The sequence below is a fragment of the Homo sapiens genome, chromosome 7, assembly GCF_000001405.40.
Source record: "Homo sapiens chromosome 7, GRCh38.p14 Primary Assembly".
Classification (NCBI taxonomy): domain Eukaryota; kingdom Metazoa; phylum Chordata; class Mammalia; order Primates; family Hominidae; genus Homo; species Homo sapiens.
Window position 1 is genome coordinate 70705837 of NC_000007.14, and position 19968 is coordinate 70725804.

Below are 19968 nucleotides of genomic sequence, written 5' to 3' on the forward strand. Positions count from 1 at the left end.
GGATAGGAGTGGAAGAAGTCAATCCCTCGTGGGGTGCTCTGATAGGTCTGTGTGCATCCTATGTGCAGAATTTTCCATCCGAACAAGCCTCTCAGCATGAACTGAATGTGGGAGTAGGGAAAAAGTATTCTGCCACTGGTATGGCTTGGGGTGAAGGGCCACCTTGTCCCATGTGCAGTTTCTATTATAAAGCATTTCCTCGTATACACCACGACCCCAGTACATGCTGGATCTTGACAGATGTCTGCTCTTCTGCATCAAGTCACTGGGTCTCTGTGAGTCTGCTTTGTCAAATTTTGCTGCAGTAACAAAATAGCTCAGAGTCCTACAACAACAAAAGTCTTATGTTAGGTGTCATCTGCCAATCAGCCGCAGGTTTCTTTGTTTTTATTCTGGGATCCAGGCCAAAGGAGGAGTCCCCATCGTGGTTATTCGGCTGGTAAAGGGGAAAAGAGCAGAGACAGAAACAGAGAATGCCTCCACTTGGAGGTGGGTGTGGCGTTTCCAAAAATCTCATTGGCCAGACAAAGTCACATGACCAAGCCTGCCATCAATGGAGTAGGAAGTAAACTCCTACAGGGAGGAGCAGAAGAGAAGAGGGATCCACAGGGATCCACAGGGCCTTGGAAGGAAGGGAAAGCAAACCCTGCATGGGTAATGCTATCTGCCACAGGCCCATCCCAGAAACCTAACAAATCAGGAGCTGTTGCCTCTTACTGTGTTAATGCAAATGGGATGGAGGGTGGCTTGCATAGCTTTGATGATCTCCGTAGGCTTTTCTGTTAGAGACCTGGTTCCCTAATAGCCATTTGGTTGGAGTTTATATTAAGTTAGATCTGATAAGTTGTCAAGAAATTAAATGCTTTTTTATTGTTTATCTGGATTAACTTATTGCTGGCTTGGAAGGACTTATGGAAAAGTTGCCCCAGAGTGCAGAAATGACTTCAGTGATTTGCAAAGAATAATTGTTGGACTGGCCAGATGTTTAGACTCTGCATAATTAACCTGAGGAAGCATGATTGCTGTAAAACTTTACTGCAAAGTAGTATGCGTTGTCATGGTTACCTTGAACATGGGCTTTGGATTTAAGATTCTCACAGACACTGCTTTGAATCTCAGTGCTTTGAAGACGCTTACTAGCTGTGGAACTTTGGGCTAGTTAAAACACCTTAGAACCAATTTTTCCTTCTGTAAAATGGGAATAACCAAACCCATCTCTTACAGGTGCTGTGAGGATGAAACGAGGCAATGGATAGAAAGTGCTTAGCCTACCTTGTACCATATTTTGATCTAATGATACAGTGGGCTAAGTATTTTACATACATTCTATCCCCTAATCTTCACAGCAGCTCTTAATTTAGAAAAGAATTTAGAAATAGCATCTGCATTTTATAGGCAGGGAAACTGAAGTTAGATATGAATAGCTAGCATTTATTGAGGACTTTCTTTTTGCTAGGTATTGTTCACTTTATATGTAATTCACTCATTTTTTAAGTGAGTAAACTGAGGCTCAGAAATGAGGCAACTTGTCCAAGGTCGCGCACCTAGTAAGTGGTGGAGCTCGGTCCAGCTGACTCCTAGACATGCTCATAGCAGTCATACTGTGCTAGGCTCTGGGGATATGGCAGAGAATAGAAAGGAGGAGGATCTCTGTCCTTCCTGAGGGAGACACAAAGCGGGATGGTAAAAATTCGGATTGGGGGAAACTGGGTTCTATGGGAAGACACTGGCAGGAACCCTCAACAAGGGCTTCCCTAGGGCTTTTCCTCCCATACCTTCCCAAAGTATTTAATCTTCTCATAAAACATAAGGTCCCGGAGGTTCTCATCCAGGACTTCTCCAGGATGTCAACCATTATCCCATCACCTGTGGCCAGAGTCGCCATAGTTACTGCAGCGCAGTGGGGCTCAGCTTAAGGCACCTCCAGTTTCCTCGCTCTTCCATGCCCATTCTTGTGCCTTTGCGTGAACTGATCTTTACTTTTCAGCCAGATTTTATTAGAAATGATTTAGGAATTTCAAGCAGGGGCATTTCCCTAGCAACCGATGACATAAGCACAAGGCCCAAATCTGTGCTGTTAACAGGGAATGGCGTTCTGTGGGCTCCGATCTGCGTCTCTGACCCTCGTAAACCTTGTCTTCTAAAGGAGGAGGCTGAGAGCACATCATTGCTTTTCTAAGAGTCCTTTTGAAGAGGGAAATGTCTCAAGTGTGCCCGTTAATAGACTGATGTGGGAGGCAGTTATATTTGGATGCCTTTAAAAGCCACTTGGAAAACATTTTCCCCCTCTTATCTATCACCTTTCACATCTCTCAGCAGAGTAACACTAAAACCTAATTTTAGCCAAGATTACATCATTTTCTCATTCTCTGTTCATAGCTGGGAAAGGTTTTTCCATAGTAAAGCTCCTCTCCCCGAAAACCCAGCTCCTCCGCAGGACCTCTTGGGCTTCTGTGAAGGCTTCTTTATCCATAAAGTTTAGTTTGACAAGGGGTCTTCTGAAAGCAGATTGGTCAGCTGTTAAAGAAATGACATCAGTGGTGATTCCATTGATTCGTTCAATTGGCTTAAGGTGGAAACCATATTGAAATGAATTCTTTTCATTCACATATTATTGAGCCCCAACCATGGAACAGGATCTGGAGGTAACAACACTGAATAATAGATGACACCCACCTGACCAGAAGAGTAAAAGAGTTTAAATGTATTTTGAAATGTTTTTCAAGTGGTATAATAGCAAACTCACTAATTAAAAAAAAAAAAATAGCCTTAAGACTTTCTTAGGTGGAAAAGCTTATCTGAGGTGAGCCCCGAAGGGTCAGCAGACCAAAAATTGACCAGCCCTCAAACTGCAGAATTATGTCTCGCATTTAGAGAGCCCCAGAATCTGCCAGCTTGTGCTCATCGTTAGACTAAAACCTACCCCTTTGAGTTTTCCATTTTAAAAATTGATGCTATTGTTATATGAGTTAATTAAGCTATTGCAAAGGTTTTTGGCAGTGCCATAAAGATCTGTACATCACCTATCAATACAGTCCACTTTTTTCACGTTTCTTCAGTTAGATTTTATTGTTTAAATACTTTTTTTTTTTTTTTTTTGAGACCAAGTCTCACCTCATTGCCCAGGCTGGAGTGCAGTGGCACCATCTCGGCTCACTGCAACCTCTGCCTCCCAGGTTCAAGCGATTCTCCTGCCTCAGCCTCCCGAGTAGCTGGGATTACAGGTGCCCGCCACCACGCCTCGCTAATTTTTTGTATTTGTAGTAGAAATGGGGTTTCACCATGTTGGCCAGGCTGGTCTTGAACTCCTGACCTCGTGATCCGCTCACCTCGGCCTCCCAAAGCACTGGGATTACAGGCGTGAGCCACCGTACCCGGCCTTGTTGTTTAAATTCTTACCAGGTTGGCCCACCGCAAGGAGGTGGCAGGAGGGAAGCCCCATGCCCAAGCCTGAGCAAGACTATTTGTAAAGTTGAGCAGATCACTCCATTTGACTTGCTTTTCTCATGGGTATCATGAGAAACTGGGGGGTGGCCTCCAAGACTCCTTGTGAATCTAAAGACCAAAGTTTGTGTTAGAAATATTCTAGGGCCAGCCAGCACAGTGGCTCACGCCTATAATCCCAGCACTCTGGGAGGCCGAGGCGGGCGGATCACTTGAGGTCAGGAGTTGGAGACCAGCCTGGCCAACATGGCGAAACCCCATCTCTACTAAAAATACAAAAATGAGGTGGGCATGGTGGCACACGCCTGTAATCCCAGGTGCTCGGGAGACTGAGGCACGAGAATGGCTTGAGCCCAGGAGGTGGAGGTTGCAGTGAGCGGAGATAGGCGCTACCACACTCCAGCCTAGGCAACAGAGCAAGATTCTGTCTGGAAAAATATTTACATATATCTTTTAGGGCCTCTCAGAACCTGACGCTTCTGCTGAGGGCACACATTTTCCCTGCTAGCTGTGAAAGAGATTCTGAACACTTAGCATTCAAAAGCAGTAGTGCCTCGTAGCCGATACCAGGACTTCAGTCCTGAACTTGTGAACAGGAATAAGCCTCTCTCCTCTTCAGGAGATTGCATCTGTGTAAGAAAGATCTTAAAGGTAAGAGGGGATTGAGCCCCGGCACAAGGGAGGAGTGGAAAAGACAGTGGCTACAATTTGAATACCAGCTGTTAAGGTATTACGGTATTAACCTCCAGAATAAGAGTAACAATACAGAGTCCTCCTTCTCTGCTTGCCTGCATCTTGGGTGCTGTTAAAAGAGATGATTTATCTGCTCAGTAAATGTTTATAAAACCCCACTGTATATATAAGTACTTAGGGTTCCTTTGTACTTGACTTCTCAAGTGGAATGACTGTCATTTGGACCACTTCCTAGGCAGGGATTGCTGCAGGTTAGATGAGGGTGGGGGGCAGGGGCGAGATACCAGAGAAAGTGCCCAAGAGCACCCCAGGGGCAACTGCCAGGCAGCTTCTTTTTCTATGAGATGACTCATTTTACCACCACGAATTGAAATGAGGCTTGCATGGGCCATTGTAGATAATCGAAAGAATGTCACCACCCTCCCATCTGTCTTCAGCTGTCACAGACTCACACACCAAGCATTTCATCAGAGTTCTAGTTCTTCAAGTTCATCTAGGTCTTTTTGACTGGAGCAATCTGACTTCCTACTTTTCTTTTGCTAGAAGGTGATAATAATTGCAGCTTCATTCACTCAGTGCTGCATTTGCTGTTTGTTGGTTTGTAATTCGATGCGCAGTCTTCTTGTGTCTTTGCGGGAGAGTTGGTTTTAGAGGTGGCACACACCAAAATCATGAATGGATTTAAGGAGGGAGAGGCTGAACTAATTTGATTGTTACCAAGTCCATAATGTGTTCCTTGGGAAAATTCCACTTGTCTGGACTGTGCTCCTCACTTTCTGAGATTGAGAACTGGAGAAAGGAGGAACGTCACAGACAAGACAGCAAGAAGCTTAAAAAACAAATTCCTGGATTTGGAGCAGTGTGCTCTGGTGGAATATTAGATGATAAACTACACTTTGTGGTTTTGTTTTGTGCAGTTGGCTGTAGAGGCCACATGGCCCTGTATAATGACCTCTTCCCAAGATGTTAGACATCAAATCAGTTTGATTTCTACCCCCATGGGAAGAGGAACTCCGGTTGTAAAGAGGCAGCTTGAGAATAACTGGTAAAGGGTGACTTGCCATTTCCCCGCTGGTCTTGCCTCCCAGGAGTAACTGTTATTTGACCACATGACCCAGTTACAACCTGTTACCCCTGTGTGGCCAGGGCCTCACCCCCCCAGAGCACACCTTCGGGTCAGGCTCATGCCTGATTTGTGCCTTCTTTCCTTCTCAGGGCCCTCCAGGTTGAGGGAAGACAGCTTTACACCTCCACCTTCTGTATTAGCTCCAGGATAAACTTGAAAACTGCCTACTCTGAGGGTTTTTTTGGCATTTTAAAAGTTAAGTCTGACTTTCCGAGCCCTCTCAGCATCCTGCCAGGTATCTTATCTTATTCAAATATCCTAATTGCTTCTGGGGCTGCACATCATCCTAGCACCTAACTGACAAAATAGACCTTCACCTGAGGGCCTCATTATGCTTTCTGCCTGTGCATCAGGCCAAAAATACCTCCACAATACCTGCTCGACATCCTGGGCTTCCAAGTGACAAACAAATAATTGGGTGAAACAAACCCTGGGCGCCGAGCAGCTGCCATCAGTGTCGGAGCACAGAAGAGTCCACGGCAGTAACAGTCACAGCGCTGCCTGGTTCATGTCAGAGCAAATCTTTGAACAGTGGGTTGTGCTGACACCAGAGAATGACAGCTTTGGAAATGGCATGCTAGTTACTGCTGCAAGTGAGGCCTCTCATGTAGACCATGACAAGCGGCTGTCATTTCCATACAGGTGAACAACTGACATCCTAGAAGGGGGAGGGCGGGAGCCACGCAGGAGGCTGTGTTTGGCAGTAGGTGGGGCCAGACTTCGGAGAGGGGTCCCAAGTACCGGTGACCCTGGCGAAAACTAGCCTAAAAACACAGTCTCTTTCCATGCCCCTTTACTCACTCCCCACACATCTTCTCTGTTACCTCTTTGGAGTTCATCTGAGAGAGGGCTACAGAAATACAACCCAACATGCTTAAAGGATGTTTGCATTTTCACTCTGTTCCCTCCACATCTTTTCTTCTTTTTCTTTCCTTTTTTTTTTGAGACAGGGTCTCACTCTGTCGCCCAGGCTGGAGTGCAGTGGTGCAATCTCGGCTCGCTGCAACCTCCACTTTCTGGCTCAAGTTATCCTCCAGCCTCAGCCTCCCAAGTAGGCTAGGACTTACAGGCACAAGCCACCATGCCTGGCTCACTTTTTTTTTTTTTTTTTTTTTTTTTTTTTTTTTTGCAGAGACAGGGTTTCACCACATTGCCCAGGCTGGGCTCGAACTCCTGAGCTCAAAATGAACCGCCCACCTCAGCCTCCCAAAGTGCTAGGATTACAGGCATGAGCCACCACGCCCAGTGTCCTCCACATCTTGATATGTCAGGGATTAGCTTTCCGGTCGCAATGCTTAGTTTTATAGAGGATGGAAAAGGCAAGGTTTCTGCTGATAAGGAACTCACCATGAAAAGGAATGGGTTAGATGAAATTAAGTGCAGAATTGGGTCTAGACCGGTGGTTCTCAAAGTCTCCATCAGCAATATCTGCATCCTCTGAGTGGTTGTTAGCCATGCAGAATCTCTGCCCCACCCCAAACCTACAGAATTGGAAACTCTGGGGTAGAGTCACAACTCTGTTTTCACAAGCCTTCCAGGTAGTTCTAATGCAGACGACTGTGGTCCAGAAAAAACGAGGAAGAACATTTTGGCAGTGAGGTTTTGTAAATGCTCAGACGATCCACAGAGTCACTGGGTGAAATCATACTCTATTGCACAGGGAATAGGTCTAGGTTCGTAGTTGGGCAGCCTTTTTTTTGGAGGGGACAGAGTCTCAATCTGTCGGCCAGGCTGGAGTGCAGTGTCACGATCTCAGCTCACTGCAGCCTCCATATCCTGGGCTCAGGCAGTTCTCCTGCTTCAGCCTCCTGGGTTGGTTTGTTTGTTTGTAAATATCAACTTCACCTGATCTGTTCAAAGTGCCCCTGCACCTACCATTTCCAATCCTTCCACTCTCTATAGCCTTGTGAACAGGCCTACTCATGTTTAGCGTGGTTCTGACAGATGCTAGGCCTGTACCTAGGGCTCTGCTCATCTGAATAGAGTTTGAAACCATGACCTTGGGCCAATGTTATGCTGTAACCAGCTGAGCTAACTTGCTCAACCGCTTCTGAAAGACAAACTGTTCCATCGAGTTCCTTCTTGGCAGGTGCTGCATCACCAATGCCGGCCTGCCATCTGTGTGAAGGGCTATCACAGCACACAACACACACACATACTGGGCAAATGTGCCGTGATTACCACTAACTATTTTGTAAACAAAGTACTGTGTTAATTCTGTTTTAAACTGCTTTATCCAGGATTGTAGAACAATGGGCAGAAGTGTTTTGAAATCTTTTTTTCTTCTGTATTGAATATTAGAGTTTTAAGGCCATAAAATTAACATGTAAATTGAGTTTTCCCAAAAAATGTAAAACTCTTAAGAAGTTTAAGTAAGTTACCTAAATAGTAAAGCTTTTTCAGTTGTCCTTCAAGAATAGGCATCTTCCAAAACTAGTTGTGTTAAAGTAGTGGTTCTCAAACTTTAGCCTGCATCAAAATTAGCTAGAGGACTTGTTAAGATACAGCTTGCCGGCCGGGCGTGGTGGCTCACGCCTGTAATCCCAGCACTTTGGGAGGCCGAGGCAGGCGGATCACGAGGTCAGGAGATTGAGACCATCCTGGCTAACATGGTGAAACCCCGTTTCTACTAAAAATACAAAGAAATTAGCCGGGCGTGGTGGCGGGAGCCTTGTAGTCCCAGCTACTCAGGAGGCTGAGGCAGGAGAATGGCATGAACCCGGGAGGCAGAGCTTGCAGTGAGCGGAGATCGCGCCATTGCACTCCAGCCTGGGCGACAGAACAAGACTCCGTCTCAAAAAAAAAAAAAAGATACAGCTTGCGGGGCCCCACCTCCAGTGATTTCTGATTCAGCGTGTCTGGGCTAGGGCTCCAGAACTTGCATTTCAAGTAACCAGGTGATACTGATGTTTCCAGTCCCCTAAGAGCACTGTGTGATCTACATGGGTTAAATTTAAATGCCTTTTTCAATAGGGAATATTTTCAACAGGGAATATCACACCACTCAAAGGTGTGAAATGTATCTTTACATGTAAGATGAAATTGACACATGAAAGTGAATTCAATTTTATCATGAATCGGGAGCTTTTTACAAAATGAAAATTTTCAACTCTAATTCAATATAGAAAATGTAGAAATGAACCCCCATATATACCCATTACCTAGATTCATATTAAGACTTTTCCACAATTATTTTTAGGTGATAGGCTGGATAGGGCGATGTCCACCTTTTTTTTCTTTATTGCTGAAATATTTTAAAGCATGTCTCAGACTTCATATCATTTTACGACTACATACTTTAGTGCACATCTATAAAAAAGAACATTTCTTACAAAATCACATGTTGTTATCACACTAACTAAATATGCAGTAATTCCTCAGTGTCATCTGAGGAATATACCCATCCATGATCTCATCTCCATGATTGTCCCACAAGGGGTCATTTTACGTGATCTGTGCACATCAGGATACAAACAGACACACATACTGCATGTCTTAAATCTAGAGTGCTCCACCCTCCCCAGCTTCCCATTCTTTCAAGTCATTGACTTGTTGCAGAAACCAGGTCAGCTGTCCTGAAGACTGCCCCACATTCTGGAAGTCCTTGCGGTGTCATTTAGCTTGTTCCTCTGTCCCTCGTATTTCCTGTAAATGGAAGTTGGCCGTAAAGCTTTGATTAGATTCAGGTTAGAGTTCCTGGCAAGAAAACTTCATAGGCATTGCAACGAACCTCATGTTGCCTCACATCTGGGAACACACAGTGTCTGGGTGTCCCAGTTTTAGTGATGTCAAAATTATTCAGTAAGTTTAGGTTGTGGCAACCTGATACTTGCATTGGCATGTTCCCCGTCAAGCTTTTATCTCATGGTCTCATCTATTGATGATGCTTGCCTGATGCAGTAATTCATTAGAGATGGCAGAGGGTGACTTTTCTAGCATTATTCCACATTTATTGGCTGAAATTCTTCAGTACAATGGCACTTTCCCTCATCAACTAGAGTTCTTTGGTTACACTCAAATATAATACAAGGAAAAAAGTAAATGCTCAATTCTCTCCTTCTAATTGCATGTTTTCAGAGCAAAAAGTTGGTGCTCTACCAGGAGTTTATTAATAAGTCTGAACAGTTCTCTGCATTTTTCTTACAATAAATCTAACCTATGCTTTCAGTGCATTGAGCTTTTCTTACATGGTTTGTGTTTATCAATTGGAGGGACAAAATATCTAAAAATTAGAAAGGTACTGCAAGAACAACATCGTCAAATGAGGTCATACACACTTAAGTGTGTGTGAATTTAGTCATACCTGCCCTTCATAGCTCTGTTCAAATGCCACATTCTCCAGGAAGCCCTCCTACCTTCCCAAGGTTTGAACCTTTCCTGTGGCACTTCCTGCATCCTGCCTGTCTTTTTTTCTTTTCTTTTCTTTTCTTTTCTTTTCTTTTCTTTTTTTTTAAGATGGTGTCTCACTCTGTCACCCAGCCTGTAGCAGTGGCATGATCTCAGCTCACTGCAACCTTCGCCTCCTGGACTCTAGTGATTCTCCTGCCTTGGCCTCCCAAGTAGCTGGGATTACAGGCGCATGCCACCACACCCAGCTAATTTTTGTATTTTTAGTAGAGATGAGGTTTCACCATGTTAGCCAGGCTGGTCTCCAACCCCTGACCTCAAGCCATCCACCTGCCCTGTCCTCCCAAAGTGCTGGGATTTACAGGCATGAGCCACCATGCCCACTGCCTGCCTGTCTTTTATTGAAGTTGTAGATGTCCTCTTCCCCTTTTCTCTGAATTCTACCCCTATCCTACCCATGGTGACCCACAGGGTGCTTTGAATTAAAATGAATTAAAATATAATATCCTAAAAGTGATTTCAAACTTTGGAATTTAGGTTATATCCTGAGAATCTTAAGTGACTTGATTCAAGAAAGTAGGCAAAAACCTGAATCGTGTTTGGTCTGATCAACCCATTTGGAATTAATCGAAAATCTGATGATCCCAACTGGGTACTTTTCAGGAAAGGAGTGGGAGGCTGCCCACGTATATTGAGTGCCTACAGTGTGCCAGGGCACCTGCTGATTTATTTGATTCATACAGTAGCCTAGCCAGGTCCGTCTATTACCTGTGAGAACACTGGTGACTGGTAAGTGACAGTGAGTTCTTGCCATCTCCTGTTCTTTGCCCTTTCTCTTATACCAGCCCAGCATAAAGAGGATCGGGGGCTTCAGTTTGGTGAATTTAAAAATGTCTCTTGTTAAAGGCCGGGCACAGTGGCTCATGCCTGTAATCCCAGCACTTTGGGAGGCTGAGGCGGGTGGATCACGAGGTCAGGAGATTGAGACCATCCTGGCTAACACAGTGAAACCCCATCTCTACTAAATATACAAAAAATTAGCCGGATGTGGTGGCAGGCGCCTGTAGTCCCAGCTACTCGGGAAGCTGAGGCAGGAGAATGGCGTGAACCCGGCCGGGAGGCAGAGCTTGCAGTGAGCCTAGATGGCGCCACTGCACTCCAACCTGGGTGACAGAGCGAGACTCCGTCTCAAAAAAAAAAAAAAAAAAAAAAAAAAAAAGGGAAGTCTCTTGTTCACAACACAGCTTCTCATCCAGCCTGACCTGTTTGAAGTATGTCTGGGGTGGAAGATCCTGGTGATGCAATTCCAGCCTGGGAAAACTTGAGGAGAGGTTCAGTATAGCACCATGGGCGGCAGGCTGTCAGTGTGTGTTAGATGTATTCGGTTACTTCGTTTTATGGGAGATTTCATGTGATACTAAGACGTAACCTCCCACAAAATGAGATTTATAGAATTGGGTATATGTCTAATCAATAAACATCAAACTGGAAAAACTGTAAAGGCATTTCAAGTGATAGTAGTTATGGCTGGAAATCTCAGTGGAGTTATTTTTTTTTTTTTTTTTTTTATTACTGTTTAAGCCTTGACACTTTTATTTATTTAGACACTGGGTCTCACTCTGTCACCCAGACTGTGGTGCAGTGGCACGGTCATAGCTTACTGCAGCCTTGAACTCCTGGGCTCAAGTGATCCTCCTGCCCCAGCCTTGCGAGTAGCTAAGACTATATAGGTGCATATATACGTGCGTGCCACCACACCTGGCTAATTTTTTAATTTTCTATGGAGACACCGTCTTGCTATGTTGCCCAGGCTAGTCTGGAACTCCTGGCCTCAAGTGATCCTCCTATCCCAGCCTCCGAAGTAGCTGGAACTACAGGCCTGTACCACCATACCCGGCTAACTTTTTAAATATTTTTGTAGAGATGGGGTCTTGCTGTGTTGCACAGGCTGGTCTGGAACTCCTGGCCTCAGGCGATTAATCCTCTCACCCCTGCCTCCCAAAGCATCGAGCTCCTGGTGCACTTTCTAACTCACCCTTCGAGGATGTGTGTATTTATATGTGTCAGGGAGAGGAAATTGATCTCCTGAGGGGTGGGTGGAAGAGCACTTGTCCCTAGTTAATCCTTTTTTGCCTGTTCTTTAAAAAGCGTGATAGATAGGCCAACCCACTATGAGTTTTCTGGTGGCAAAAGTACAAGAAATCCCTGCTATTTATCCACTATCTGTGTAGCTTCCTCTTTGAAGCACCTCAAGCCCTCGCCAGCCTCTTCTTGTCCGTTGCTGATCTTTGGCTCTGGGTGCCAGTCAGCCTCAGGGGCGGTGCTGCCTTTTTTGGCAGAGTATCACTGTTAAGCCACTTTTTCTCTTTAAAAAATGCTACACAGAGGTTTTTGAACCTGAAATGCAATTATTTTAAAGGCATCCTCACCACTCACTTCCCGAGTGCTCTGTTACACCCAGCGCCACCTGCCAACCACAGTGAACATCCAGCCATGTCATTTCTTCCATTCCTGCCCTGGAGTAAAGTAGATTTACTGAGCTGATGACTTGTGTGCATTTGTACATTGCAACCTTAGCTTACCTCTTGAAGCATGTAGAGCATTCATCACCCACCATTCATTCACTGCCTACTCCCACCACAGCTGTTTCGTGGTCTGTCTGCTCCCTGTGCCACCCCCACCCCATCAGGTGGGCCTTTTGCAAGTGATGAAGTCACCTGTGGGGGAAGAGCTTTCCTTTCCTCTCCTCAACTCAGAAGGCCTCTTCCTCTTGCTCAAGAGGGTGCTGCTGCTTTCTGCCTCCTTCCCCGGCCGGCCTCCATCCCAGTTCACCTTTTCAGACATGGCCCCTCAGTCAACTCTTCCCTTTTCTCCTGGCTTTTTATTTCTCCCAGTCTCTTAAGAGTATCCTTAGCTTTAAAAACAATAACACAGAGGATGGGTGCAGTGGCTCATGCCTGTAATCCCAGCACTTTGGAGCCTGGGGCGGGCGGATCACTTGAGGTCAGGAGTTGGAGACTAGCCTGGCCAACATGGCAAAACACCGTCTCTACAAAAATACAAAATATTAGCCAGGTGTGGTGGCGCACACCTTTGATCCCAGCTACTTAGGTGGCTGAGGCACAAGAATCACTTGAACCTGGGAAGCCGTGGTTGCAGTCAACTGAGATTGCACCACTGCACTCCAGCCTGGGCGACAGGGTAAGACTCCGTCTCAAAAACAAACAAACAAACAAACAAAAAAACCCAATAACACAGAAATGCAAACAACAGATCTAGCCCTGCTGCTTCTTCATATACTTCAAACAAAGAAACCTTTTTTGATATCTTTTTTTCATTCCCCCTTTGTATAAAATACCTTGCATTGGTATATCTTTTTGGTGATAATTAAGGTGACTATATAACTTACTGTCCAGGCCTGGACACTTTTGAGAGTGAAATCGACTGTTTCTTCATCATTATCCTGGGACAACAGGCCTCACCCTGGACTGTCCATGTAAACCAGGGCATATAATCACCCAAGTGATCATCCAAGGTTTTTCAGTTTGTCAGAGTGGTTCAATCCACTCGTGATGATACTGCCATTTATTGAGTACTTACTATGAGATGAGCTTTGTTCTGATCACTTCAATTAACCCATGGAACCCTCACAGTGCCCTTTTGAGGTAGATGGTATTAACACTGTTTTGACTGTGAGGAAACTAAGGCTGAACAAGTTGCTCAAGGTTACACACCTAGTTACGTCCTCCACACTCACCCCATGCTACATCAGCCCCCAAGGTCAACATCCATATCTCCCCTGAGCTGTTAGCAGAGATTTCTAAATGTCTGCTCAATTAAAAGGAGTGTACACTGTAAACAAGAGTATCGCCTTCCAAAGTAAGCGTTTAGGGTTGCCTGGTTGTCAAGGGCTCAATAACAGGAGTGAAGTACTTAATTCTTCTCTCAAATAGTATGTGGAGCCGGCTCGGAACAAGCAGGGCTTCCCCTATCACTAATATTCTCTAAAACACACTCCCCACCCCACCCACCCCCGAAATGGAGTCTCACTCTGTCGCTCAGGCTGGAGTGCAGTGGCTCTGTCTCCACTCACTGCAACCTCTGCTGCCCTGATTCAAACGATTCTCCTGCCTCAGCCTCCCGAGTAGGTGGGATTACAGGCTCCTGCCACCATGCCCAGCTAATTTATGTATTTTTAGTAGAGACCGGGTTTCACCATATTGGCCAAGCTGGTCGTGAACTCCTGACCTTGTGATCCACCCGCCTCAGCCTCCCAAAGTGCTGCGATTACAGGCGTGAACCACCGCACCCGGCCAAGACACACATTTTTAAAACAAAGAAATGGAAAAGTCTAGACTCTAAGCTGGTTACACCCCACACAGTGAAATTCTGGTTATTTGTTTCTGCTGATTTTTCTCATCTCACAGGTTTCTCATTCCCGAAGGTAATTTAGGATGATGTTACTTAAGAACTGGAGTTAACTTAGTGACCAGATATTAAGCCATGAATTTCTTGGTCTTCCTAGGAATGGGAATTTTACACAAGTACAAGCATCTCTTTTGAGAACTTAGGCCTCTCACAGATCTCTAGCCTGACGTCTCATTCGTATCTCTTTTCTTTCCCTTGCTGTTGCTGTTCTTCTTCCCCTACTTTAAAAAGCCTTTCCTGCCAAAATCTGAATCGTTACTCCACGGAGTTTATTATTTAGGCAGATCCGAAGATCAACACGAAGTCTTTTTGTTGTTGTTTTCTTGTATTTTTTTTTTTAATGCCACCAGGGTGACAGGAAGATTTACTGAAAGCTGAACTTATTTTGTTTGCTCTAATATTCACAAGCCTCAAGAGTTTAAGGAAGTGGTAAGTACACCCGCTGCCTCGGGGAATACTGTTAGGGTATGAGCATAAAGTTATCCACACTCGTCTCCAAATCGCAGGCGTCAATCTGTAGGGATTATGCAGCGGGGGAAGAAGGTGGCTATTACCCAGAAGAGAGCTGCTTGAGAGCTTTTCAGCATTCTTCCCCACGGGCACAGAGCATCTTCTCTTCATGTTCCTACAAAGTGTTATGGAGAGGAAAGTAGTTGGTAGGGATCTTTTTATTGTACATATGTTTTAACACACACACACACCCCTTTCTTTCAGCTCTGGTTCCCTCTAAAAAGGTCCTGTTCTCATCCTGGCCACCAGACTTCTTCCACCAGGGGTCCCTTCTCTCTTTCTTTGTCACCAGGCCAAGTTTGTTAACCATCTTCAGAATTACAGGACTTTAGTAGCTGAGGAATTCCTTTTAAAGTGGTTCCAAACTCAGCACCTTTAGGCAACACAGCACATTGTTCTGCTTTGTTAAGAGAAGCTTGTTTTGAAGAGCTAGGAAAATGAGTTCAAGCTCAGATTTCTCTGGGTAGAAAGGGTATCCCATATCAGATGATGATGTGAAGAAGCAGATTGTGAACTGTAAAGTGAAAAGGTCTTAAACACGAGAGATAAGCAAAGGGGTGTGTATTTCAGGTAACATACAAACACAAGGGAAACAGACCTCTGGCATCTCATCGCATCTATAAATCTGGATGATTTCAGGCAAAAATGAAAACATTTGCTTTTCTTCAATCTTGGGAATTTCTAAAACATTGAGTTTTTTAATAATAATAATAATAATAGCACCATTTGCTGAGCCCCAAATATATGTCTTCTGCTCTACTGGGCTCCTGATATACGTTCTCTCTAGTGGGCCCAGGACCTGCAAGGCTGGTATTGTTACTGCTGTATAGAGGTTCAAGGAGATGACATGCCAGAGGCCACACGACTGACGTGTGTGACAGCCAGAATTTCATTCGTGTGTGTGTGTGTGTGTGTGTGTGTGTGTGTGTTTCCGATGGAGTCTCACTCTTGTTGCCCAGGCTGGAGTGCAATGGCATGATCTCAGCTCACTGCAACCTTTGCCTCCTGGGTTCAAGCTGTTCTCCTGCCTCAGCCTCCCGAGTAGCTGGGATTACAGGCACCTGCCACAATGCCCGGCTGATTTTTTGTACTTTTAGTAGAGACCGGTTTTCACCATGTTGGCCAGGCTGGTCTCAAACTCCTGACCTCAGGTGATCCACCCACCTTCTTTTGTCAATTTATCCAGTGATCAGGTATTTGAGTGCCTACCTGACATTGTCTGAGAGACAGTGGACACTGAGATGTTGTACATAGCTTTGCTTGTAGCAGTTCATGACCTGCTACTGGGCTAGTCAGATATTGACCCTGAGTCTATTGGACCGTAGCTCACTTTCTTTTTATGTTGCAAAATTGCAAACCTGTAGAAATGTTGAAAGAACAGTATGACAAACACCCATATACCCTTCACCTAGATCCACTGTTCTTAACATTTTTCTACATTTGCTTTAGCTCTCTTTTTTTTAGATAAGTCATTTCAATGTTAAAAGTATCATGATGCTTCAGTATTCATCTGCTGCACTTTCTGCATAATCTCATACCATTATCATACCTCCGAAAGTTAGCTGTGATTCTGTAATGTTATCTAGGATATAATTCATATTGAACTTTCCTTGCTTGTTTCCAAAGTGTGCTTTTTTACAAAATAGTGAGCTTTTTTTTTTCTTTCATTTTTGAATCCAGGATTCAATGAAGACCACACCTTTTTGGTTGATACGTCTCTTTGACCTCTTGAAATTAAATATAGCCCCCAGTCCCGGCCCCAACCCCTTTTAAAATCTTTAAATGACATCAGCAGTTTAAAGAGCCCAGGCTGGTTGTCTTTTAGGAAGTCCTACTTTGTGAATTTCCTCATGGTGGGGTTTGTTACCCAATTATTTTTTAATTAAAAAAAAATTCCATTTTCAGTCTGTGTTCACACTGCTTTATGAGTCCAGTTTGCTTAGATTTTTTGTGGGGGTACTTAGATGTAGCTGCTTTGGGAAGAGGGACACGTGGAAAATATAGAGGGAGATGGGGAATATTTAGTTCAGCATTTTATATGCTATAAATAATTATAGCTGTATAGCCAAATGAGCTTTTAGAGCTCTGGATTCCATTGGAATTTAAGGATTTTTCTCTTCCCCTCTTTTCTTGTAGAGATTAGTTTGTTGCCAACAACCCTGGAACTGGCGAACTGCTTAAGGCATAATGTTTTCATTAAGAAAGGATTTAACTAATTAGATTTGACTAGCAAGCTGACAGGTTAATCAATAAGGGAAGTGGGGCTCAGCACCCCTTAAGTTGGGAGTCTCCATTAAGTCATTATGGTGTCTGCTAAAACATTCTTCTTCACAATGATTCTTAAGAATTTTTACGTGAATCCCTCTAATAAATGTTAGAAAATCCTGTCCCTTTCAAATTCCGTAAAGATCTGTATTGTGTTCATGTATTTCAGATTCAAACTGTTGAGTATTTTAGGGAGCCTCGCAGTGTCAGACAGGCCCTTAAATATTGTCTTATTTTTACTTTTGAAGACCCAGTGGGCCTGTTCATCCTTTGTCATGTTACTTCAGCTTTTACAAACTAACTTCACTGCAGTTTATTATTTAAATTTAATTTGTTCCCAGATAAACCTGAATGTTGATTAAAACCAGTAATTTGGTTAAGTGTCAGAATTAGAAGAAGGATGTGGAAAGTGACGAGTCGGGGATAGGAGTAGAGAACGTGAGCTTCTTGAGTCACCTGCAATGGGTGGTGTTTTATAATGCTCTCTTCCCTAATCATGTTAATCAGGAGATTTTCCTTTTGGAACTCCTGACTGAAAGCTTCTTAGTTTACACACATGTTCCTCCAGGATGAACGCTGAAAATAACTTTTTCGGTTTTGTTTGTTTGTTTGTTTTCCTCTATACAACCCCTTGCAATTGCTTTGGTTTAGAACACCTTTGGATTCTAAGTTTCATGGTTGTTCTGGGAGACACCACATTCACCCTCTCAACCCAAGACCTTGAAGATGGGAGGTTTTTCGGACCTCATCATAGACCTCCAAGGGCACTTGGAAGCTCAGAGAGGCCAAACTGCCCCAGGACCAGTGGGCTGGCAAATGGCACACCTGGATTTGGCAGAAAGCCCCTAGAGCCTGCACTCTTAGCCACTCTGTTAAAGGAGCTCTTCTTTTTGAGTCAGACAGACAGCAGGAAGCGCCCGCTGTACAGATTGTCAAGTGCATAGTGCTTGGAGGCATTTGAAGGAAGTAAAAGGCTCTATTTTTTTCCCCAGAGAAACTGTTTTAATTTACCTTTCTGAGTTGTAGAGAAAAATACTCGCGTAGCTCTGCTCTTATTTATGTATTTTCAATAAAACAAACTTGTGTATTTGGGTTTTAGTTTAACAGGTCATTGGCCCACATGTAAAGCTGATTTGTTAGGAGTCATTACCTAGAAAATAAAATTCTGAAATAAAGATCAAGTATTCCTGAAACTAACGTTTTGTTTATAGACCTTTGCAAGTATACATGTAGACTTTTTGAGAATTTGAGAAGGGTTTTTGAGACAGAGTCTGGGTCTGTCACCCAGGCTGGAGTGCAGTGGTGCGATCACCACTCACTGCAAGCTCCACCTCCCGGTTCAAGCAGTTCTCCTGCCTCAGCCTCCCGAGTAGCTGGGATTATGGGCACCTGCCACCACACCTGGCTAATTTTTGTGTTTTTAGTAGAGATGGGGTTTTACCATGTTGGCAAGGCTGGTCTCAAACTCCTAGCCTCAGGTGATCCGCCTGCCTCGGCCTCTCAAAGTGTTGGGATTACAGGCGTGAGCCACCCCATTTGGCTGAGGACTTCTTTTATAAATGAAGATGTGGCTGTGATTTTGCAGGCACATATATACCTTTAGGTGTTTTCAGTTACTTTCATATGTGCTTATCAGCAATTTGATTCCATATTTGATTTATAACCCTGCAGGTGTACAAAACTAATATTATAACTAGATTCTCTGTTTTATAGTAAGCTTATCAAAAATCAAGGCATAGTGAGAATTAAAACATCAGTTTATTTTTGGAAGAATGATTTTATTTTCATCCTGACTTTTTTTTTTTTTTTTTTTTGAGACAGAGTCTCGCTTTGTCGCCCAGGCTGGAGTGCATTGGCGTGATCTTGGCTCACTGCAAGCTCCACCTCCTCGGTTCACACCATTCTCCTGCCTCAGCCTCCCGAGTAGCTGTGACTACAGGCGTCTACCACCACGCCCGGCTAATTTTTTTATTTTTTAGTACAGACAGGGTTTTACCGTGTTAGTCAGGATGGTCTCGATCTCCTGACCTCGTGGTCCGCTTGCCTCGGCCTCCCAAAGTGCTGGGATTACAGGCGTGAGCCACCGCGCCCGGCCTCATCCTGACATTCTTTATGTGTAAGGTGCTAAGGTGGTAGCATACTGCTAAAACTAGATTAGTAGTACTTAATCTAGAGGGATCTTTTCAATAATTCCATACATTAAACAATTTACTGTCTCCATTACAAGGTGTACCATTGACTTAATACTGGTTTTTTGGGGAGGGAGTGAGTTTGAGAAACACTAGGACGTTAAAAACTGCTATGTTGATTGTAGGATATCTGGATTTCAGAAACGTTAGCACATGCTTGTGCAGGGGTGGGAGAGGGAGAACCTGTGTCTTAGAAATGAAGAACTATGGTACATTTATGTAGGATATGATATCACATTTTATAATTTGTCTGCTTAAACAATGATTTACAGATCTTTTGAGAAAGAGAGCAAGGAGGTTGGGCCTTTTAGTAAGACAGAAAAATGACCTTCCGTTTAAGACTTAGACAAATTAAATTGGACTTTGAAAGTGGTTTACCCTTTTCCTCTCGGGTAAATGTCGGAAGTGAGTGCCCTGGCTGAACATAAGGGAAGGTCCATTGTCAGCACCCTGAAAGCCTGTTTGAAATGTCATCAACTTGGAGCATTCATTGGCAGCGACTATCAACAGCCCATTTTAAAAGGATGCCTTGGGTAGAATGGAAATTACAGTGGCCAGCCGTTAATCCTTTTTAATAAGGGCAACTGTTGAGGAGAATTATGTTGTAAGAATGAATGAAATTTGGGAGCAACTCTAGTCCCCATGTTCTGTCGTGACTGTCAACACCAAATGTACTTTCATTTTTGCAACTGCCTAAGGATTTTCCATTTAACAAACTTACATGACAAATGGGAAAGCAGTGGCATTCCCTGAGAGTCCAAAATCTGGTTTGGCTCTGCCGTTAGCACATTTGCCTGCAGGGATTGATGTATCTGATTGAAGAATGTTGAGTTCAGCCAAGAGTTAAGGTTAAGGTCCTTCTATTTGTTTTGGGTCAGTTCCTACAGGTAGAGAATTTGAAAGCCCTGAAGTGGTTTCATTGCCCCTAGTAGAGATAAATGGCCAAATGTAATAAAAATAGACAGT

The 19968-nt window shown here is 44.1% G+C and overlaps 1 protein-coding gene across 27 annotated transcripts in view, besides 3 other annotated features; it reads left to right on the forward strand.

The window, feature by feature from the left end:
- AUTS2 (activator of transcription and developmental regulator AUTS2) overlaps nucleotides 1–19968 on the forward strand; it is a 1195032-nt gene that overhangs the window by 1107362 nt on the left and 67702 nt on the right. The window lies entirely within an intron of this gene.
- Nucleotides 5188–5710: an enhancer, noted in NCBI's record as "H3K4me1 hESC enhancer chr7:70176010-70176532 (GRCh37/hg19 assembly coordinates)". NCBI's record gives its function as "activates a minimal SCP1, AML or CMV promoter by ChIP-STARR-seq in naive H9 embryonic stem cells {active_cell/tissue: H9 hESC(naive)}" and the evidence as "EXISTENCE:reporter gene assay evidence [ECO:0000049][PMID:30033119]".
- Nucleotides 10555–10714: an enhancer, noted in NCBI's record as "active region_26111". NCBI's record gives its function as "activates an Ori minimal core promoter by ATAC-STARR-seq in GM12878 lymphoblastoid cells {active_cell/tissue: GM12878}" and the evidence as "EXISTENCE:reporter gene assay evidence [ECO:0000049][PMID:35858748]".
- Nucleotides 19079–19770: an enhancer, noted in NCBI's record as "NANOG-H3K4me1 hESC enhancer chr7:70189901-70190592 (GRCh37/hg19 assembly coordinates)". NCBI's record gives its function as "activates a minimal SCP1, AML or CMV promoter by ChIP-STARR-seq in naive and primed H9 embryonic stem cells {active_cell/tissue: H9 hESC(naive and primed)}" and the evidence as "EXISTENCE:reporter gene assay evidence [ECO:0000049][PMID:30033119]".